The sequence below is a fragment of the Homo sapiens genome, chromosome 5, assembly GCF_000001405.40.
Source record: "Homo sapiens chromosome 5, GRCh38.p14 Primary Assembly".
NCBI lineage: Eukaryota > Metazoa > Chordata > Mammalia > Primates > Hominidae > Homo > Homo sapiens.
In genome coordinates, this window is record NC_000005.10 from 152,320,522 (window position 1) to 152,343,448 (window position 22,927).

The 22,927-nt window shown below is 38.8% G+C and overlaps 2 long non-coding RNA genes across 2 annotated transcripts in view; one reads left to right on the forward strand and one right to left on the reverse strand.

Annotated features, from left to right (window-relative positions):
- Window positions 1–9,136, reverse strand: part of LOC105378236 (uncharacterized) — a 34,936-nt gene extending 25,800 nt beyond the window's left edge. The window contains exon 1 of the long non-coding RNA XR_944432.3: window positions 9,053–9,136. This is a non-coding gene — a long non-coding RNA (uncharacterized LOC105378236). The remainder of the gene's footprint in view (window positions 1–9,052) is intronic.
- An 8,009-nt stretch (window positions 9,137–17,145) lies between these two features.
- The window catches only part of LOC105378237 (uncharacterized), a 40,775-nt gene continuing 34,993 nt past the window's right edge, over window positions 17,146–22,927 (forward strand). The window contains exon 1 of the long non-coding RNA XR_944433.2: window positions 17,146–17,342. This is a non-coding gene — a long non-coding RNA (uncharacterized LOC105378237). The remainder of the gene's footprint in view (window positions 17,343–22,927) is intronic.

Here is a 22,927-nt window from a genome sequence, read left to right on the forward strand (position 1 = left end):
AATGGCTCAGGGTGGGAGGCCACATGTCTTTCCTTCTTCATTTTCAGAAGGTATGAAAATTTCACATGCTGGGAGTGGTTTGTTCTCTCTCCTTTCTCCTGCTCTCATGGTAACTCATTCAATGGCATGTGTGTATTTGTGCCTGGAAAGGTAGGAGGACAGGAAGAATACCAGAAGAGAGGCAAGATGAAATCGAGGAATGTATATACTTAAACCATTTTCTCCAATGTCCAGTAGTTTAGGTCAGGTTATTCTTCCTATTACTCACCTGTAGGGCTGACTTGCCTGGCAAGTGGAGTAATAGCAGCTAGGGGATACTGGACAGCAGTGAAAAGGGGTTAGGGTTTATGTGATGATGTAAGGCCAGAGGACCCAGGAGTATACAAACCCTGCTTTCACCCAGTTATTTCTCTTTTGATAAGCTTCCTAAAAAAAAAGTAAAAATAAATACCATTTGACCCAGCCATCCCATTATTGGGTATATACCCAAAGGATTATAAATCATGCTGCTATAAAGACACATGCACATGTATGTTTATTGTGGCACTATTCACAATAGCAAAGACTTGGAACCAACCCAAATATCCATCAATGATAGACTGGATTAAGAAAATGTGGCACATATACACCATGGAATACTATTCAGCCATAAAAAAGGATGAGTTCATGTCCTTTGTAGGGACATGGATGAAACTGGAAACCATCATTCTGAGCAAACTATCTCAAGGACAGAAAACCAAACACCACATGTTCTCACTCATAGGTGGGAATTGAACAGTGAGAACACTTGGACACAGGGTGGGGAACATCACACACCAGGGCCTGTTGTGGGGTGGAGGAAGGGGAGAGGGATAGCATTAGGAGATATGCCTAATGTAAATAATGAGTTAACGGGTGCAGCACACCAACATGGCACATGTATACATGTGTAACAAATCTGCATTTTGTGCACATGTACTCTAGAACTTAAAATATAAAAAAAAAGTAAAAATTACACTATTAGCTGGTTTTGAACTTAAACTCCAAAGTAAGAATGAACTGGGCCAGGTGTTTGTGTCCTCTTGTTGAGGCCAGAGGCAGCCCGGAGGAAAGTGAAAGAAGTCCAAATGACCTACTTTCCCTCCAAACTTAGGTGCCTGCCCATTCAACACTATGAAAACTTCCACCTGCTGATAAAGAAAGAAGCAGACATCAATGGAAAGACAGCATCCTGCTCCCACTGTCTCTTCAAGCTCTTCCAGGCTGGATAAAGCTCAGGCCTGACTACTCTGCCAGAAAAAAAGAAGACATCCAGAGATGTGGACATGGCTGGAGAGAGATCCTCCAGGAAGTGGTATCAAGTCTGTGTGTCTCTTTGAGAGCACCACCTCCAGAAAGAGCAGCTCAATCAGTTTTCTGGACTCTGACCCACCAAATAATCATGACTTTCTCTGTGTGTTTGTGTGTGGCAGGGTAAGTGGGTGGGGCAGATTTAATGCCTTCCATCCTCGATGGGGAGACAGGAGCTGCAGAGGCACCCAGAAGTTACTGACACTCCCCGTTGTCTCCTCCCCAATCAATGCTTCTTCATCATCTTCTGCCCCAGTTTTGTCTTTCTGGTGGAATGTGGTGGTCTCTCCTTTTACTCTATTCTGAATTTGCTGTCAGAATGGTTTTCCTGAAGCACAACTTTGATTACCTCACTAAATGCTCAAAAATACTCCATGGCTCTCACTGGAGCAGTGGCAGGCAGTCTGGCCCTCCTGTTTTTGTAAATAAAACTTTATAGGAATACAGCCACACTCATTCATGTACATATTAGCAATGGTGCTCTCATGCTACAAAGTCAGAGTGGAGTAGTTGCAACAGGGAATACATGACCTGCAAAGCCTAAAATATTTACTATCTAGTCCTTAATATTAAAAAATTTGCCAAATCCTGGTTTAGAGAAATATGTCCAAACATCTGTTCCTGGCATTTGAGGTACTTGTCAGTCTGGGCCCAATAAATCCTTCTTGTCTTGTCTGCTCCTGCTCCCCTTCAAGTGCCTCATGTCCCAACCAAAAGAGAATCCCAACTTCATACCTTTTTGGTAGTTTTTGTACTTTTTTTATTGAATTCTAACACACATATAGAAAAATACACATATTTTAAGTGTATAGCTTGATGAATTTTCACAATGTATGTATCCTAATAACACCCAAATTAAGAAACAATATTTATTACCCGTACCCTAGAAGCCCTCCTCATGCTCATTTCTATCCTGATTTCTAACACTGTAGATTAGCTGTAGCTCTTTTTGAGTTTAATATAAATACCAAAGTAAGTATTTCTTTTGTTTGGCTTCTTTTGTTCAACAATAGGTTTGTGAAATTCATCCACATCATCACATGTAGTTGTTGTGTATTCATTCCCAGTGCTGTATTCCATTTTGTGTTTCATTATATCACAGTTTATTAATTCTATAGTTGATAGGCATTTGGATAGTTTCTAATTTGGGGCTATTATAAACAATGCTGCCATAAACACCTTTTTACGTGTCTTGATTAGCATATGTATGCATTTCTATTGGGTTATTACCTAAGTATGTCATTGTTGAGTCATAGGGTAAATACTACCAAAATGCTTTTCAATATATTTATACTAATATATACTCCTATCAGGAATGCTTGAGAATTCCAGTTGCTATTCAAAATCCTGGCCAACATTTGGGTTCTGGTTGGTGGTGCTTTTTTCTCTTTTAGCAATTCTGGTAGATATATTACAGAATCGTGTTGTGGTTTAAGTCTGCATTTCCTTAAACTCTAAGAGGTAGAGCACCTTTTCATAAATATTGGCCATTTGGATATCTTCTTGTAATGTGCTTTTTTAAGTCTTTGCCTTCTTCCCTTTCCGATTGTCGTTTCTTATTTATTTGTATAAAACTTTAATATATTTTGGCTCTGAGTCTTTTCTCAGATAGGCATATTATACATATTGTCTCTTATTCTATGGGTTGCCTTTTCACTGAAGAGTTTGGTAAACAAAAGTTTCTAAACAATCCAATTTATTTTTTTCTTTTTTTTTTTTTTTTTTTTTTTTTTTGAGACGGAGTCTCGCTCTGTCGCCCAGGCTGGAGTGCAGTGGCGGGATCTCTGCTCACTGCAAGCTCCGCCTCCCGGGTTCACGCCATTCTCCTGCCTCAGCCTCCCGAGTAGCTGGGACTACAGGCGCCCGCCACTACGCCCGGCTAATTTTTTGTATTTTTAGTAGAGACGGGGTTTCACCGTGTTAGCCAGGATGGTCTCGATCTCCTGACCTCGTGATCCGCCCGCCTCGGCCTCCCAAAGTGCTGGGATTACAGGCGTGAGCCACCGCGCCCGGCCAATTTATTTTTTTCTTTATGATTAGCACTTTTGATCCTGTTTAAGAAATTTTTGTCATTTTCAAAATTATGAAGATATTCTCAAATTTTCCTATGAACTTTTTTTCCTACCTTTAGATTTTAAATCTGGAAATTATTTTGTATATAAATATATACATATACTATAAGTAGGAGGTCAAGTTTTTTCCCATATGGATATTTAATTCGTATACCTTCTTAAATTTTAATTTTTTTTTAGATTTAAGAGGTATATGTGCAGATATGTTATGTGGTTATCTTATATAATATTGGAGTTTGGGTGTCTATTGAACCCTTCACCTAAATAATGAACATAATGTTACCAGGGGTGAATCTGCATGGGTCTGCATAGATCTTGATCCTTGCCTCCTCAGAGAAAGAATTCAGCTGAGGGGTAGAAGTAGGTTTAAGGCAGAGGGAGAGGCCAAGGCAAGTTCGAGAACAGGAATGAGAGTTTATTAAACAGTTTTAGAGCAGGAACAAAAGGAAGCAAAGTGCACCTGGAAGAGGGCCAAGTGGGTGGCTTGAGAGATTCAAGTGCCCCATCCAGACCTTGACTTGGGGTTTTATACATTGGCATGGTTCTGGAGTTTGTGTTTCTTCTCTCTTGAGACTTCCCTTGGGGTGGGCTGTCCATATCAGCAGTGGCCTGCCAGAACTTGGGAGGGGCCGCATGTACAGTGTATTTACTGAAGTTGTGCACATGCTCACTTGAGGTGATTTTCCCTTACCAGTCAGGCATTCCCAGAGGTAGGTCATATACCAGTTAAACTCTACCATTTTGCCTCTTAGTGTGCATGCTTGAGCCCACTCACCCAACTCTTGAAACCTTATTGGGAAGCTGCTGATCACTAGCTTCAGGTATTTTCTATCTATTGGAAGACTGTCTTTCCCTGGGGCTGGCTACAACTGATGATCATTTTAGAGAGACAGTTGAATAACTGCCTGACCATCACCTGATGGTCACCTGACATTCCTCGGTGGAGGCCATCTCCTGCCCTGCTCCTGTCTGCCTAGCTACCTACTGTAACAATAGTACCCAATTACCCAATAGGTAGTTTTTGAGCCCTTGTTCTTCCTCCATCCCCCACTTCTGGAGTCCCCAGTGTCTATTATTTCCATATTTATGTCCATGTGTACTCATTGCTTAGCTCCCACTTATTAGTGAGAGTATGTGGTATTTGATTTTCTCTTTCTATGTCAATTCATTTAGGGTAATGGCCTCCAGCTGCATTCATGTTGCTGCAAGAGACATGGTTTCCTTCTTTTTTATGGCTATGTCATATTCCATGGTGTGTATCTACCATATTTTCTTTATCCAGTCCACCACTGATGAGCCCTAGATTGATTCCATAATTTTGCTATTGTCAATAGTGCTGTGATAAACATGCAAGGGCAGGTATATTTTTGATAAAACAATTTATTTTTCTTTAGGTAGATACCCAGTAGTGGGATTCCTGGGTTAAATAATAGATTTATTTGTAGCTCTTTCAGAAATCTCTGTACCATTTTCCATAGGGGTTAAACTAATTTACATTCTCACCAAGAGTATATAAGCATTCCCTTTTCTCTGCATCCTTGCCAATATGTTATTTTTTTACTGTTTCATAATAGCCACTTTGGCTGGTATGAGATGATATCTCACTGTGGTTTTAATTTGCATTTCTCTGATGATTAGTGATCATAAGCATTTTTAATATGTTTCTTGGCCACTTGTATGTCTTCTTTTGGGAAGTGTCTGTTTCATGTCTTTTTCCCACATTTTAATGGGGCTGTTTGTTTTTTTTCTTGTTGATTTATGTGCCGTATAGTTTCTGGATATTAGTCCTCCATCAGATGCATAGTTTGTAAATATTTTCTCCCCATTCTGTAGGTTTTCTGTTCATTCTGTTGATTGTTTCTTTTGCTGTGCAGAAGCTCTATAGTTTAATTAAATCCCGTTTGTTGATTTTTGTTTTGTCACATTTGTTTTGAGGTCTTAGTCATAAATTCTTGGCCAGAATCAATGTCCAGAAGAGATTTTCCTAGGTTTTCTTATAGAATTTTAATAGTTTGAGATATTACATTTAAGTCTTTAATCTATCTTGAGTAAATATTTATATATGGTGATAGATAAGGGTCCAGTTTCACTCATTCTTCTTCATATGGCTAGCCAGTTTTCCCAGCAAAGTTTATTGAATAGCATGTCCTTTCTCCATTGATTATTTTTGTCTACTTTGTCAGAGATCAGTAGATGTGTGGTTTTATTTCTGGGTTCTCTATTCTGTTCCCTTGATCTATGCGTCTATTTCTGTATGAGTACCATGGTTTTTCAGTTACTGTAGTCTTGTAGCATAGTTTGAAGTTGGGTAATCTGATGCCTGTGTATTTTTTTTTTTTTTTTGCTTAGTATTGCTGTGGCTATTTGGGCTCTTTGATTCCATGTAAATTTTAGAATTTTTTTTCTAGTTCTGTAAAAACTGATGTTAGTAATTTGCTAGGAATTACATTCAATCTGTAGATACTTTGGGAAGTGTGGTCATTTTAGATATCAGTTCTTAAAATCCATGAGGATGGAATTCTTCTTCATTTGTTGGTGTCATCTATTATTTCTTTCATTAGTGTGTTGTAGTTCTCATTGTAGTTATCATTCACCTCCTTGGTTAAATGTATTCTTAGGTATTTTATTTTTTTGTGGCCATGATAAATGAGATTGTGTTCTTGATTTGGATCTCAGCTTGAATGTTATTGGTGTATAGAAATGCGACTGATTTTTATACATGGATTTTGTATCTTGAAACTTTACTGAAGTCACTTATCAGTCCTAGGAGGAATCTTTAGGGTTTTCTAGGTATAGAATCATGTCATCAGTGAACAAAGATCATTTGACTTTCTCTTTTCCTATTTAGATCCCTTTTATTTCTTTTTCTTGCTTGATTTCTCTGGCTAGTATTTCCTATGTTGAATAGAAGTAGCAAGAGTGGACATCTTTGTCTTCTTTTAGTCTTTATGGGAAATGTTTCTAACTTTTTTTCCATTCAGTGTCATGTTGGCTGTTGGTTTGTCATATATGGCTCTTATTATTTTGAGGTATGTTCCTTCCGTGCCTAGTTTGTTGAGAGTTTTTATCATAAAGGGATGTTGAATTTTATTAAATGCTTTTTCTGTGTCCATGGAAACAATCGTATGGTTTTTGTTTTAATTTTGTTTATGGGATAAATTGCATTTATTGATTTGCTTATGTTGAACCATCCTTGCATCCCAGGAATTAAGCCTACTTGATCATGATGAATTGTTATCTTTTTGATGTGGTGCTAGATTTAGTTTGCTTGTATTATGTTGAGGATTTTTGTGTCTATGTTCATCAGGGATATCAGCTTGTAGTCTCTTTTTTTTTACTGTGTCCTTACCAGATTTTGGTATCAGGATGATACTGGACTGATGTGTCACCATTGTTATTTATCAGTTTGCTATTTTCTTGCATAAATACTGGGCAAGGAAATTGCTCTCTGTATTAAAAGAGTATGTCATTTACAATAGCATCAAAACTTCCACATTCAGAGGAATAAACGTAAAAAAAGACATGTAACCCACTTCATGAAAAACTATAAAATATCATTGGGAAAAACAAAAGATAAAAAAATTATAGTATATATATATGTATATATGTAGTACATATGTGTATGTGCATATGTGTATGCACATATATACATAATATATAGTGTGTGTATAGAAATACATATGTCTATATTTTATATATATATATAAAATTTGTCATAGCTTTATTATAGATTCTAAATATAGTAGCCTATGTTGTTGTTCTTTACTTTCACTGGCCTTGGCACTTTAAATTCCCATATACATTTTAGGATTAGGTTGTCAGTTTGTCTTAAAAAATCTGATGTGCTTTCAAAAAGGATTACACAGAATTTGCAGATTGGCCTGGGAAGAATTGACATATTTATTATATGCCAATATGTCTAATATGTGAACATATACCTTCATTTATTTAGCTTATCTTCCATTTTTGTGAGTGATGTTTGTAGTTTTCTGTATCTATTGTCACATTTATTCCTAGGAATTTAGTGTTTTTTAATGCTGTTATTAATGCTACACTCCTTGAAACTTAATTTTTCTAATTTATAGTGTTACTAATATATGGAAATACAACTAATTTTTATAGATTGGCTTTATTTCTAATGACCATGTTTAGTTTACTTATTAATTCAAATAGTTTATCTGTCAATTCTTTTGTATTTTATAAGTATACAGTCATGTTGTCCATTTAAATGACAGTTTTGCTTCTTTATCTTTCTATCCTTATGTTTTTTATTTATTTCCTTGCTTTATTACACTAGCTAGGACAAATACAATGTTATATAAAAGTAGTGATAGTGTATATCCAGTTTCTCTCCTGCTTGAGGTATGTGTCCCTCAACCCATCATGACTTATTGATATGGTTTCCAGAAACCATTTGAGTGAAAGAAACCATTGATGGGCTGGTAACTGTTTACAAGGGTCTCTTATGGCTGGGAAGAATAGTTTGTTGCTCCTTCTTTCTTTACTCTGTTTTGAAACTATCCTTCAACTATATACGGAGGATCAAAATCTACTTATTAGGTTTTCTGGGGTAAGTGAGTATAAACCTCTTTCCTTGGTGTATATGCCATAGATATGACCTTAATTAGTATATAGTGAACATGTATTATCTATTAAACATTTATTGACTTTGTTTGCATTAGTTCATTTGATGATACCAATAATCCTATAAGGTAGCCATAATTATTTCTTTTGTATAGACAAGTATCTTTGGAATTAGAAATTATAAACTTGCCCCAAATCACTCAGTTGGAAGTGATAGTTTTGAACCTAGGCGTTTGACTCTAGAGCCCCTACTCATTGTACAGTACTGATCCACATCAAGTTGAAATTTGCCTTTTTATAATTCCTTTGTGGCTGCACAGAAAAAGCATGCAGTTCCTTTTCCAAGAAAGCCCTTTATTTTTGTGAAGTTAGCTTTTATCAATCTTCTAAATGTCCTCCAGATTAAATATTCCTAGTTTCTGTTATTCCTTGAATGACAAGGCTTAAAAATCTCTTTTGCCTTTCCAGTTACCAATTTCCTTCTCAAAATACCTCTCCAAGCATGGTGCTCAGAGTGGAAGTGGGGCTGGTGATGTTGTATGGTTTGTTGAAATGATTTAAACTATGAAGTAGAACATTGCCCTTCTCTATTGTGATCCTTATACCCTTTATATTGCATCCTGAGATTGAAGCAACTTGGTATAGATTTTAGAGGTCAGAGATTTTATTCTGATCTTAGCAAAGCCATTTGCAAGTTGTATGACCTTAGGCAAGTCACTAGATTTCCCCAAGCCTCTTTATAGTTTTCTTATCTATAAAATATGGGATAACTCCTACCCTAGTTAACCCCAGCAAATGATGACAGACTCATTTGAGATAATGGAGATGAAAATGTCATTTGCAAACTGTGAAGAGCTCTATCAGTGTTATTTTTAGCAGATGCATCACGGTGTTGACACATACTGAGTGAGTATTTGTACAGAGTGGAGCTGAATTCAGTCATAAACAAAGTGAACAAAAGGGAATGTAGTGACGTCTAGCCAACATAAGGAAATGTTAAACGGGCTGTATAGGGGAGAAAAGGGGGAGAGTGGAATTAGCCTCAGGAAAGAAGGACGTATACAGACCTGAGTGTTCAGCTGAGATTTTGGAGACACGGCCATGGTCCACAAGGTCAGTGAGGACCGGGAAATCATAATCAGATCTGGTGACTTGAGATGCTGAATTTTGTTTTTCCTTCCAGTGAAATGGTGAGGCAGAGCCATTCCTGCCCCCTCTCCCCAACCCATCCCACAAGGCTAATTATTATAAAAATTCTCTGTCATTTCTTTGCAACGGTCCACAGCCTAACTAATTTAAAAATGCAAATGAATGCTAAATTACAGTCAGGTTTGGAGCTTGTTTCCTGCCTATGCACCTAGAGAGGGTGAGCGTCATTGCTACAGCTGGAAATCAATCTTGAGCACCCTGGGTGATTTGATAATGGCTAGTGGCATCGCTGCTGATGTCACAAGATGCTTGGTTGATGGTGAATTTCAGTAGCATTGTGGACTATCAATCTTCGGCCTGTCTCTGCCTCTGCAGTGGCATACTGCAGCATCATGTTTTTTTTTCTCCTGAAAACCAAGGAACCCTCCCTCTGCCATCTGTCAGCCTTGTGATAGGCCAAGTGCTAAGCCTGACTCTGGTGATTGGATGTGTCTGCCTTATAACAGCCCTCCTAGCTGTGAGCTTTGGGTCTGAAAGCCTGTTTGGTGATTACGATGATGATGAGAAATGGAGTCCTGTATGTCTAATAATCCTTAGATTAGTGAGTCTCACAGTGACCTCCTAGGATCTGGGGTGTTTTTAAAATGCAGACTCCTGGGCTCCATTTTAAATATACTGCAATGAAATCTCTAGAGATGGATCTCGGAAACGAATTTTTAAAAACAGGGATCCCAAGTGATTCTTATGCATATTAAAGTTTGGGAAATACTGTCTTACATTGTGAAATGATGAATTATTGGGGCTGAAAGGAGCCCTAGAGAATTTCTTGTCCAGTGGTTTTCAGCCTTGGCTGCACATTAGAATTACTTGGAGAGATTTTTAATTCGCAGTGCTGGAGGTCCTACCCTCCACAAATGTCATCAGAATCTTTAGGGTTGGGACCAAGCCATCAGTGTTTTAAAGCTCTCCAGTTGATTCCAACATACAGCCAAAGCTGAAAATCGCTTCTGTAGTCCAACCCTTGCTTTTACTATGGGGGACAGTGTGGCCCACAGGGGTACCATCTCTGAGAGGGTCAGTGACCCAGATGGGATGAAAATTCAGATTTCTTGCTGCTAATTGGTACTCCTTCTACCATAGAGATTGTTTCTCTTTGCTGAACCAGTGGCAACTCCTATTCTCTCTCTGGTGTTCTATTTTATCCTGTAATACCTGATAATTTGATTTCCTTATAAGCCAGGTCCTGTTCTCTCCAGGTGGACCTCTGACTCCAGCCAGAGATCCCTGACTCAGGCTTTAGCCTAAAGCCCATCCCCAGCCATAGACTCACCCTCATGCCACCCCAAGTTCCCTGAGGCCTCTGTTAATTGGATAAGGCTTGCTGAGCAACCAGGCTTCTAGCTCTGGCATTAGTTTGGTGCATGTGACTTTTAAGTAAACAATAAAACTTCTTTCGACTCTCTTTTCCTTTCCTTATACAGAGTGCATATAATGAATTTGGAGTGCTTTGCTGAGAAAGGGACTGCCTTTCAATGCCATAGCCTAGTGCTAGGCACAGAGCAGGCATCCAGTAAATATTTAATGAAATAAATAATTAATTGAGCAATGCAAGTGTAAACATTACATAATCATTCCCACTGGCTTATCTTCTCCCAAGATGATTCACACATTAAATCTTATTTCAAGAGATTTGCTTGCAGTGAAAATTTCTGTATAGCGTATCTATTTCCAGCCCTAGTGAATGGCTTAATGATACCTAACATATATCTTTCACAACAAAATTTTGTGAACAAAATAACTTGAACTATTCCTTAGAACTTGATATAATGGATTTTCCTTTACACAAGGAATAATTATATCTTTACCCACCCAAGTCCTTTTGACACTGGAAAGAAATGTAAAAGATGGGAGAGATACGGCCAACCAATGAATGCATCCCTTTTGTTTTATCTGTGCATGAACTAAAGTTCTGGAATTTTTGAACTTGATGGGTTTTCTTTCATTTGGAAAGATCATTTGATATCAGTAAATCCTCAGCGTTGACTGAGGCTTTCATAATTTCTTACCTATCGTTCATTGTACCACTGTGCTTATTTCAGAACTTTTGGACCATGAGTTTCCAGTTTATGGTTAGGGTGAAAAGCCAGTGGCTGTGAAGAGGACATGGTCTAGATAGTCATTGACAGATGTTTGCTGATATAAGCCAAGCACTGTGCTGAATGCTGGGAATCCATTGTTGTCTTGAAAGAGACCCACTTCCTGCCCTCCTGGGACTGTGGGCTGGCAGGGGAGGCAGGCTTGAATCAAAGCAGCATACAAGTTTCTGAACAATCATAGATAGAGATGAGCATTGTGAAAGAGTGTGCCTCTGTAAGAGTATTTACTAGAGAAACCTGACTCAGGCCAGACGGTCAAGATGGCATCCCCAAGGAAATGATGACTGAGGTGATATGGGAAAGAGAAACAGAAGCTGCTTGTGTGGAGGGGGCAGGGACATGGCTTAGTCAGATGGCAAAGCATTTGCAAGGCCCTTGAGAGGAATGAACGTGGTGAGTTTTAGGAGCTGAAAGAAAGTTTTTAGCTAGGCAGGGTCACCCAATAAGCTGTGCATAAGGATGGGGAAGAGTCCATCTCTGACTGGAATCGTCTGGCCAGTATATCATAACCTGACTTGGAAGGTTAGTCTAAAGTATGTGATCTGAATTAGGGCTTAATCAGTGCTCTGGTAAGTGTCAGGATATGCCCAACATTGGGAGCAAGTTTGAGGCCAATAAATCATCTATATTTTTAACAAACATTTATTGAATTTCTACTATGTGCCAAGTAGGTTAGAGTGGGCCAGGAGAATGGAGTAAAAGTCGGTGTGCAATATGATTAGACATGTCAGCTATGAACAGACAGCTGTGGGGTTGTGTCTAGACCACACAATGTAAGAGTTTGTTCATGTCACCTAATTTTTCTGTTTCCATTTTTTCAATCATCAAATTGGGGATAATAATGGCCTTTTCAAGGGATGGTTATGAGGATCAAATGAGTTAGTGTGTAAAAAATACTTAGTGCCAGATGCATCACGGATATCTAATTAATATTGGCTCTCTGCAAACCAGCTGGAAAAAATAAGAAAAAAAAAATCAATCTTTCTAAGTCTGGGCTTTAGATACTGAGAAAACCCCCAGAGTATCTCATGGGACAGGTGAAGAGACAAAGAGAGATTTCCTGCCAGCTGCGTCATCCACCCAAGAGACTCAGCTGGCACCTTCTTTGTCCCTGTAGACAGCAGCTTGCCATTGGCTGATGGTGGCAGTAGGCCAGTCACTGAGTTTAAACAGAATTTTCTTTGCAAATTGACATAGCAATAAAATTACAAAACTGCTGTGTTTATCTTTCCAAATAAAAGACAGATTTTAAGTACATTATACCAGTGTAATTGAAAATCAGAAGCAAATGAGAGGATGTGCTGTAACTTCTATGCTAATGTGAGATCACACTCTCCTGACCCCTAGTTAGGTATGGGAGGAGGAGCAGGTGGGGAAAAAGATATGCTTGCAGTATCCCTGCATGCAGAACTGTTTAGATGAGCTGAATTCTCAGAGTGATAGCAACTCACTATTTGGGAAACTCGAAGCCCCAGATTCTCTCTAGGGATGCAAATACAGCAACGTGGATTTCAATTAAGATTCTGCCATCCCCATGATAGAGTTCTCTTAATCCTTCTTTAGAGGTGCTGCCTGGGTAATAAAACCTTCATGCTGCAGGCTGTAGGCAGGTTTGTTTAACCCGAGCTTAACTGACAAAGCTCTCTGAGACATGCTCACCTGCTTAGAATCTGTGCATCACCTCCTATTGGCTGTGTGTGGGGCATTGCGATGCCTCCATGTGGTACAGGAGGCTGGCCTAAGAGTTCTGAACTGCAAACCTTCACAGGAAATTCTTGGGCTGGCTGGCCACCTGGCTTAGGTTATTTATTTATTTATTTAGTTAGTTGTTTTTATTGCTTTAGGGGTCTGCACCTGATGGTGGCAGTGAGGGAGGTTGAGGTGAGCTTCCATCTCTTGGAATCCCACCATTCCTATTCAACTCATGTCAAATTAAATTAATACTATTTCCATGTGAATAATTGAAGATATTTCCTCAACTTTAAAAATGTGAAAGAAGGCATCTTTTAGAAAATATTTGCTGTTTAAAAAATACTAGCCATGCACAATCCAGATAAGAAGAATGTAGTTTGAGACGAGTTCCTGGGAAGATTATCACCCTAAGCCACTCCTGTATATAGTTTTCCCTACTGACACCTGCTCATCCTTCTTTGCTTCATTCAACAGCATCCTATGGCTAACTCCTAAGCACAGTGATGCAATTCTGCCTGGAGATACAGATTATCCTCACAAGAGGCACAAAACAGGTAGAAAAATGGGCATTCATGATAGGGGGCTGGTAACAGTGTGTTGCCTGCAGAGAATGGATAATAAAATTTTGCTTGAAGAATATTGGCAATTGAGTATTTGCAGAATATTGACAATTGAGTGTGCTTGTGGGGGCTTTCATTGATGAAATTGTTTAAAGAGTACTCATCTTTGGGCTTTCTGTGTGAGACTGACTGGAGTGAATTCTTAGGCCAGTGTCATCGATGGTCAGACAGAAGTTGCTGACTGAGAATGCATTTGGAGTTCCCTGTCATTTCTACTTTGACTTGAACTTCTACTCCCTGGTAGTCTCATATAATGAGGCCAGCATGACCTAGAGAATCAAGCGTGTCTATTTTTATTGGGAAACATGTAGAGGTGATATAATGGTCAAGATGAGATCTGGCTCTTCTTGCAAGATGCCTGTAGTACTGAAGGAAGAAGTTAAACCATGCGGGCATTATTGTCAGTAATATGGACTGGATGCCCTCATCCAGCACAGAAATGCAGGAAATAATATTTTATTTTTTCTTCAATGAAAAACATTGGTAACAAAACCTGAGTTGTCCTTGCTGTGAGCACTCCTGAGCTGAAAAACCTTTTCTCTTTGTGCCCCAGTTTGCCCAACTATAAATGCAGCGTTGGACTAGATGATCTCTAACACTCAAATGTAGTGGAGAGAGCTTTGGAGCCCTGAGATCTGAGATTGAGTCCCACCTTTAGCACTGATTGGGCAAGTTCCTTCTTTTCTCTGGGCCTCAGCTTGCTATTAGACTGAGGGGATTGGATAAGATGTCCTTAAGATCCCTCTCAGTCCGGAAGAGTAGATGGACCATCAATATAGCATGGAGGCAATGATCAGATACTGGCCCCTGAAACAAAGCCACATCATGTTGAGAATCTAATAGAACAAAGTTATCTTCCATCAGAGAGAATTATTCATCCTGTTCCTCAGTGGGCATTTTGTCTTCTGTCTCCTTGGACTACTTTGAACATCATCAGAGGCTCAGGCCATGCTTACTGCTCAGTGTTGCAGAGAAAATGCAGATAAATGGATAGTGTTGGGAATTCTATTTCTGCCTGTGCTGAAAGATGTTTTGAAGTTACCATATGCTGCAGGAGATGAAGTGAGTGTGTACAGAGGAGAGATGTGATAAAGGTAACTTAGTTTGATAGCAATTCAAATGAAAAATCTTTGACATAGGGCACCTGCTTCACATTAGTGCATTGGGACAATAGTTAATGGGATTGCAGCTAGATTCACTTCTATCAATAGAGGGAAGGATGGTCACAGTTCCACGTAGGAGGGAGAGAGTACTCAGCTCCAAACATGTCACTGGAGATAAGTTTCAATTTTGTTTGGAAGGAAGCATTAACATGTTGGGGCACATCCAGAGAGACAAGAAGGGAGATAGGTTAAAAACACATGGAATATAAAGAATAATTGAAGTTTGCAGGGTAAAGATGTTAAGCTGAAAGTGATGGGAGAAAACCCTGCTATGAGGAAGTGGTATGTGACTGCAGAAAGGAGAAGCGAGAAGATTTATGTCCTTCTAGATGAAACAATAGTCTGTTGTAAGGAGACAAATACTGACAGGATAAAAAGCCTTTCAGAATTTCACAACAGTGGAAGGCATTTTTGCACTAATCAAGGAGGTTGTTATAACTGGGGGTGCTCAAATAGAAATTGGGAGATCTGTCTTCAGAGATGCTGTATTGAATGGGAGGTTTGGCAAGGAAACTCTTCTCTAGCTCTGTTATTTTATGCAGGATACATCAATAGAATTAAGCCCTCAAGCTATAGTTATGGTTCCTCTACTGACTTGCTATGTGACCTTAACTGGGTCACTTAACTTTTCTGGACTTCAGTTTACTCATCTGCAAAATGGAGACAATAACATCTGTCCGACAATACCCAACAATAATGCTGTAGAAGCCTGTGAAGATCGAATAATACATGTAAAAATGCCTCGACGAATAGGACAAACTGTGTGTAAATGACACATTAGTGATGTCATAATTCCTCATTCTCCAGCCCCTGTCTTGCCTGGCTGTACATCATTGTGATTAAGAGTAGCAGCTCAAGGGTTAGACTGCTTGAGTTTGAATCTCAGCTCAGCCACTGGCTGCATATGTGATCTTTGGCAAGTTATTAAGCTTGTTGATCCTGTTTCATGGGCAAAATAATGGGGCTGATAAGAGTAATGTTGATTTTAGAGAGTCATTGTGAGGATTAGTGCCCTAATGCATGTAAAGTGATTTTCACAGTGCCTAACACAGAATATACTCTCCAAAGCTTTGTTCTTCTCACCATTATTATTATCAGCAGGCAGTACTTACATCTCTTCAGTTGATTGTGACAACGGCTGACTGAGTTGTTGAGGTGTCTTTCAGAAATCTCTTGGAGAGACTTTAGTCTGTCTCTGAATGTCCAAGGCTGCAAAGCGCAGAGAAGGCCCATCTCAGTCCCTCAGGGGAGATCTAAACGCAGCTCCCAAAGTTTGTCAATTTGGCGACCCCAAATGTTTTCTTTTATTTGGAAGCTCACAATATTCCATCATAAATGTTTTATAATTGCTTCATGAATTATTCACCTGCAACTTAATAACCTTAAATTTTATAGGATTATGGTTTTATGGGAGAAAAACATTACCAACCTGGGACCCAGCTGTGAAGAGAAAATGCTGATGTTACCAATTTATTTTCACTATGCAATAGGAGGTTTTTTCTGTAACTATGAAATATAGAATATTAATAAAAGAGCAAATAAAAAAACTAAAAGAGAAGGAAAAAATCCTTACATTGCTCTTTTTAAAAAATTTAATCTCAAAACTGCATTTGCAATATTTTTTCCTATTGCCAAGGAGCTGATTTAGCTCCATTAGAGTTGGTTTCACCTTCTTTGGTGAAGCCAAAGAAAAATTGCTTGTTTTCCTTCCTTACATACCTGGTCTTTGTCTTTCCTATACTTTTATTCATTACTGAATTATTTTTTAGACTGGAATCATTAGTGATTTTTAAATTAGTATCACCCTCTTGCCATCCTAGACTGTTAGAATGTTAGTTTTGAAATGTCGAACTATCAGTTTTGAAATTTCTAATGCTGTCTAAGAGGAGCATTGTAATACAGTGAAAAAAGCGATGGTTAGATTTGAGTCTGAGTTTAGACTATCACTTAATTGATACATGACTTTAACAATTCCATTAAGTTTTCTCAGCCTTGCTTTCCTTTATAAGAATAAGATACTACACCAATGTAAGGAACTAATCCAGCAATACAGGTGAAGGAAAGCTGGGATGTTGACAGGGCTGTGGAAGGATGAGCGGGAAGCTCGAAAGAGAAAGCTAGCTCACATCAGATATCTGGCAGAGAAGTCAACTCCTTTACTTTGTGTTATGGTTTGAATATATTTTCTAAAGTTCCTGTGTTGGAAACTTAATCCCCAATACAACAGTGTTGAGAGGTAGGGTCTAATGGGAGGTGGTTAGGTCATGGAACTCCACCCTCTTTAATGGATTAACACTGATTATAAAAGAGACTGAGGCTGTGAGTTTGATCTCTTCCTCTCTTGCCCTTCTGCCTTCAACCATGAAATGATGCAGCAAGAAGGCCCTCACCAGATGTGTGGCCTCTTGACCTTGGACTTTTCATCCTCAAGAACTGCCAGAAATATATCTCTGTTCTTTATAAATATCCCAATCTTAGATATTCTGTTATAGCAGCACAAAATGGATGAAAACACTTGGATTTGAATTTTCAATGGGAGCAAACATAAAGCAATACCATCCTGTTATCTAATGTCAGGTAAGGGTGCTTACTCATCAGCTATTAAAACTGTTCTATTGAAATCATAGGACATGCATGTACCTTTTTTTTAGAATCAAATATAGTAGAAAGATAATAGAGATAATGAAAAGTCGATTCCAGCTTTCCCATTTTACACATAAGAAAACTGAGACCAAGTGAGGAGGATAGATTTGCCCAAAGTGTTATGGTAGATTAGTGGCAGAATCTGGGACCAAAAGCCTGGTTCTTGTCTGGGCACTTGTCTAACAGAGAAAGTGCCACAAATGTGCTTCAGGTAGGGGCTCCTGGAATGGAAGACAGGGGGTCATTAAGAAAAGTGGGATGGGAGCAGATGTTGGGCAAGGTGCAAGTTGGAGGAAGAAGGCTAAGAAATATGATTCAACTATAAGCAAATAAGCCCTACAAGCAATGCTTGGGAGTCAGTGGGTGTTTTTTTGGACTGGTTAGACCTGAGCCATCCAGTTAAAACAGGACTAGGTGTCCCAGAGGCAGTACATCTTCCCCTCCCCACAATTTACACTGACCTCTAATAACATTTTACTAAAATTATCTGGGCCCTAATTAATTTTCCTGGCTGTTTTCTTTCTTATTGCTCTCCTGGCCACAAGATAAGGACAATGACGTCTTCTAATGAATGGAGTGAACAGTTGGGCTCAACTCATTTGTTCTAAATGGCTCTTTTTCCTCTGCCTAAGGAAGCTTTGGGGATTTCCCCCGCTTGCTTTTTTTTGGATGGATGATGGGAGATGACACCTGTTAGTGTCTGAGAAGACAGGCATTACCAACAACTTACCCTCTAGGGCACCCACTATCTGTAAAAAGATTATTCGTTTTGTTACTGGAAGGTCTGTCTACCTGTCAGCTAAGGGAGGAAGAGAACTGACATTTGCTATTGTGCTTATTGTGTGCTAAGTATTTTTCTGAGTGTTCCTTCTCTGGGTTCCTAGAACATCCTGTGTATTCTTCCAACATACAGTTGCCAAGATCTGCTTTCCTGAAAACACGGCAAGCAACTTTAGGGCATGCAATACATCTATCTCATAGTTGCATTCTTAGTGTCAGTGTGACAGCCAACTCATAGCAAGTTCTTAATTAATAGGTGTTCAACTGATAAATGACTCCTGGGTGGTAAATACAGGCTTTCTTATCCAGTGCTTACCATCACCCTTACTCCTATTCATATTCCCATTTTACAGATAACTAAGGCAAGGCTCAGAGGGACTTGCCTAAGGTCTCACATGTAGTATATATAGTTCTACATGACAGGAAAAAGTCCAGGGTCTTTCCATTGATTAAACATGTTGATCACTTATAGAAACAATGTTTTATCTCTGGGTACCTGCTGAATTTCAGCATAGACCCCAATGAAGTGCTACCTTTGGAAGAGATATTGTGGATATATTCTCATGGAAGAAAAGATGCTATAAGCTACAGTAACAAGTTTGCCCTGTACTTGGAGGCATTATTATGAACTAAGAGTTGGCTTCAGATATGGTAGAAGTAGACGTGACAAGATAGCATGTAAATTGGAGTCTGAGGAATTGTAATTATTAGAGGGGAAGATAATTTAGGATCTTCCCTGTATAATATTGCAACTATTTTTTTTTAGCTCTGGCAATGTATACTTGAAATTATTGACCCAAATATTTTTATTTTTAGTAGTTATGGAGCTATGTTGCTTAATGGGGGGATGGAGGCAGGCAAGAAGGGAACGGCTGAAAACCCTTGCATGTAGCAAGAATTGAAGAAAACAGGTAAAAATAGGAAAGGAGCAGGAAGAAGTAACACGCTGAGAGTTAAATCAAGGATGGACATTATTAAATGGAAGGCAGGGGATTTTAGTTTTGTGAGCATGGCCAAGTATGGGCTTTAGAAGGCCAAGACACTCCCCTGAAAAGTTTTTATAGGTATATTTCACTGAATATTTTATATGTATATATACATATATTTCATATGTATATTGTGCTAAACAGAAGGCACATACATTTCGTTTTTCAAAGTGATCATTAACTTTCCAAAAGACTAACAACTGGTTGTGGGTAAATAAAAGTAAGTCAAAATGTCCTAGGACCAGAGTTCCAGAATGGGGATGACAATACCTTTTTTTTTTTTTTTAATTTTTTTATTTTTTATTTTTAATCTTTTTTTTTTCTTTTTTTTTATTATTATTATACTTTAAGTTTTAGGGTACATGTGCACATTGTGCAGGTTAGTTACATATGTATACATGTGCCATGCTGGTGCGCTGCACCCACTAACGTGTCATCTAGCATTAGGTATATCTCCCAATGCTATCCCTCCCCCCTCCCCCGACCCCACCACAGTCCCCAGAGTGTGATATTCCCCTTCCTGTGTCCATGTGATCTCATTGTTCAATTCCCACCTATGAGTGAGAATAGGCGGTGTTTGGTTTTTTGTTCTTGCGATGGTTTACTGAGAAGGATGGTTTCCAATTTCATCCATGTCCCTACAAAGGACATGAACTCATCATTTTTTATGGCTGCATAGTATTCCATGGTGTATATGTGCCACATTTTCTTAATCCAGTCTATCATTGTTGGACATTTGGGTTGGTTCCAAGTCTTTGCTATTGTGAATAATGCCGCAATAAACATACGTGTGCATGTGTCTTTATAGCAGCATGATTTATAGTCATTTGGGTATATACCCAGTAATGGGATGGCTGGGTCAAATGGTATTTCTAGTTCTAGATCCCTGAGGAATCGCCACACTGACTTCCACAATGGTTGAACTAGTTTACAGTCCCACCAACAGTGTAAAAGTGTTCCTATTTCTCCACATCCTCTCCAGCACCTGTTGTTTCCTGACTTTTTAATGATTGCCATTCTAACTGGTGTGAGATGATATCTAATAGTGGTTTTGATTTGCATTTCTCTGATGGCCAGTGATGATGAGCATTTTTTCATGTGTTTTTTGGCTGCATAAATGTCTTCTTTTGAGAAGTGTCTGTTCATGTCCTTCACCCACTTTTTGATGGGGTTGTTTGTTTTTTTCTTGTAAATTTGTTTGAGTTCATTGTAGATTCTGGATATTAGCCCTTTGTCAGATGAGTAGGTTGCGAAAATTTTCTCCCATGTTGTAGGTTGCCTGTTCACTCTGATGGTAGTTTCTTTTGCTGTGCAGAAGCTCTTTAGTTTAATTAGATCCCATTTGTCAATTTTGGCTTTTGTTGCCATTGCTTTTGGTGTTTTGGACATGAAGTCCTTGCCCACGCCTATGTCCTGAATGGTAATGCCTAGGTTTTCTTCTAGGGTTTTTATGGTTTTAGGTCTAACGTTTAAATCTTTAATCCATCTTGAATTGATTTTTGTATAAGGTGTAAGGAAGGGATCCAGTTTCAGCTTTCTACATATGGCTAGCCAGTTTTCCCAGCACCATTTATTAAATAGGGAATCCTTTCCCCATTGCTTGTTTTTCTCAGGTTTGTCAAAGATCAGATAGTTGTAGATATGCGGCATTATTTCTGAGGGCTCTGTTCTGTTCCATTGATCTATATCTCTGTTTTGGTACCAGTACCATGCTGTTTTGGTTACTGTAGCCTTGTAGTATAGTTTGAAGTCAGGTAGTGTGATGCCTCCAGCTTTGTTCTTTTGGCTTAGGATTGACTTGGCGATGCGGGCTCTTTTTTGGTTCCATATGAACTTTAAAGTAGTTTTTTCCAATTCTGTGAAGAAAGTCATTGGTAGCTTGATGGGGATGGCATTGAATCTGTAAATTACCTTGGGCAGTATGGCCATTTTCACGATATTGATTCTTCCTACCCATGAGCATGGAATGTTCTTCCATTTGTTTGTGTCCTCTTTTATTTCCTTGAGCAGTGGTTTGTAGTTCTCCTTGAAGAGGTCCTTCACATCCCTTGTAAGTTGGATTCCTAGGTATTTTATTCTCTTTGAAGCAATTGTGAATGGGAGTTCACTCATGATTTGGCTCTCTGTTTGTCTGTTGTTGGTGTATAAGAATGCTTGTGATTTTTGTACATTGATTTTGTATCCTGAGACTTTGCTGAAGTTGCTTATCAGCTTAAGGAGATTTTGGGCTGAGACGATGGGGTTTTCTAGATAAACAATCATGTTGTCTGCAAACAGGGACAATTTGACTTCCTCTTTTCCTAATTGAATACCCTTTATTTCCTTCTCCTGCCTGATTGCCCTGGCCAGAACTTCCAACACTATGTTGAATAGGAGCGGTGAGAGAGGGCATCCCTGTCTTGTGCCAGTTTTCAAAGGGAATGCTTCCAGTTTTTGCCCATTCAGTATGATATTGGCTGTGGGTTTGTCATAGATAGCTCTTATTATTTTGAAATACGTCCCATCAATACCTAATTTAATGAGAGTTTTTAGCATGAAGCGTTGTTGAATTTTGTCAAAGGCTTTTTCTGCATCTATTGAGATAATCATGTGGTTTTTGTCTTTGGCTCTGTTTATATGCTGGATTACATTTATTGATTTGCGTATATTGAACCAGCCTTGCATCCCAGGGATGAAGCCCACTTGATCATGGTGGATAAGCTTTTTGATGTGCTGCTGGATTTGGTTTGCCAGTATTTTATTGAGGATTTTTGCGTCAATGTTCATCAAGGATATTGGTCTAAAATTCTCTTTTTTGGTTGTGTCTCTGCCCGGCTTTGGTATCAGAATGATGCTGGCCTCATAAAATGAGTTAGGGAGGATTCCCTCTTTTTCTATTGATTGGAATAGTTTCAGAAGGAATGGTACCAGTTCCTCCTTGTACCTCTGGTAGAATTCAGCTGTGAACCCATCTGGTCCTGGACTCTTTTTGGTTGGTAAACTATTGATTATTGCCACAATTTCAGAGCCTGTTATTGGTCTATTCAGAGATTCAACTTCTTCCTGGTTTAGTCTTGGGAGAGTGTATGTGTCGAGGAATGTATCCATTTCTTCTAGATTTTCTAGTTTATTTGCGTAGAGGTGTTTGTAGTATTCTCTGATGGTAGTTTGTATTTCTGTGGGATCAGTGGTGATATCCCCTTTATCATTTTTTATTGTGTCTATTTGATTCTTCTCTCTTTTTTTCTTTATTAGTCTTGCTAGCGGTCTATCAATTTTGTTGATCCTTTCAAAAAAACCAGCTCCTGGATTCATTGATTTTTTGAAGGGTTTTTTGTGTCTCTATTTCCTTCAGTTCTCCTCTGATTTTAGTTATTTCTTGCCTTTGCTAGCTTTTGAATATGTTTGCTCTTGCTTTTCTAGTTCTTTTAATTGTGATGTTAGGGTGTCAATTTTGGATCTTTCCTGCTTTCTCTTGTAGGCATTTAGTGCTATAAATTTCCCTCTACACACTGCTTTGAATGCGTCACAGAGATTCTGGTATGTGGTGTCTTTGTTCTCGTTGGTTTCAAAGAACATCTTTATTTCTGCCTTCATTTCGTTATGTACCCAGTAGTCATTCAGGAGCAGGTTGTTCAGTTTCCATGTAGTTGAGCGGCTTTGAGTGAGATTCTTAATCCTGAGTTCTAGTTTGATTGCACTGTGGTCTGAGAGATAGTTTGTTATAATTTGTGTTCTTTTACATTTGCTGAGGAGAGCTTTACTTCCAACTAT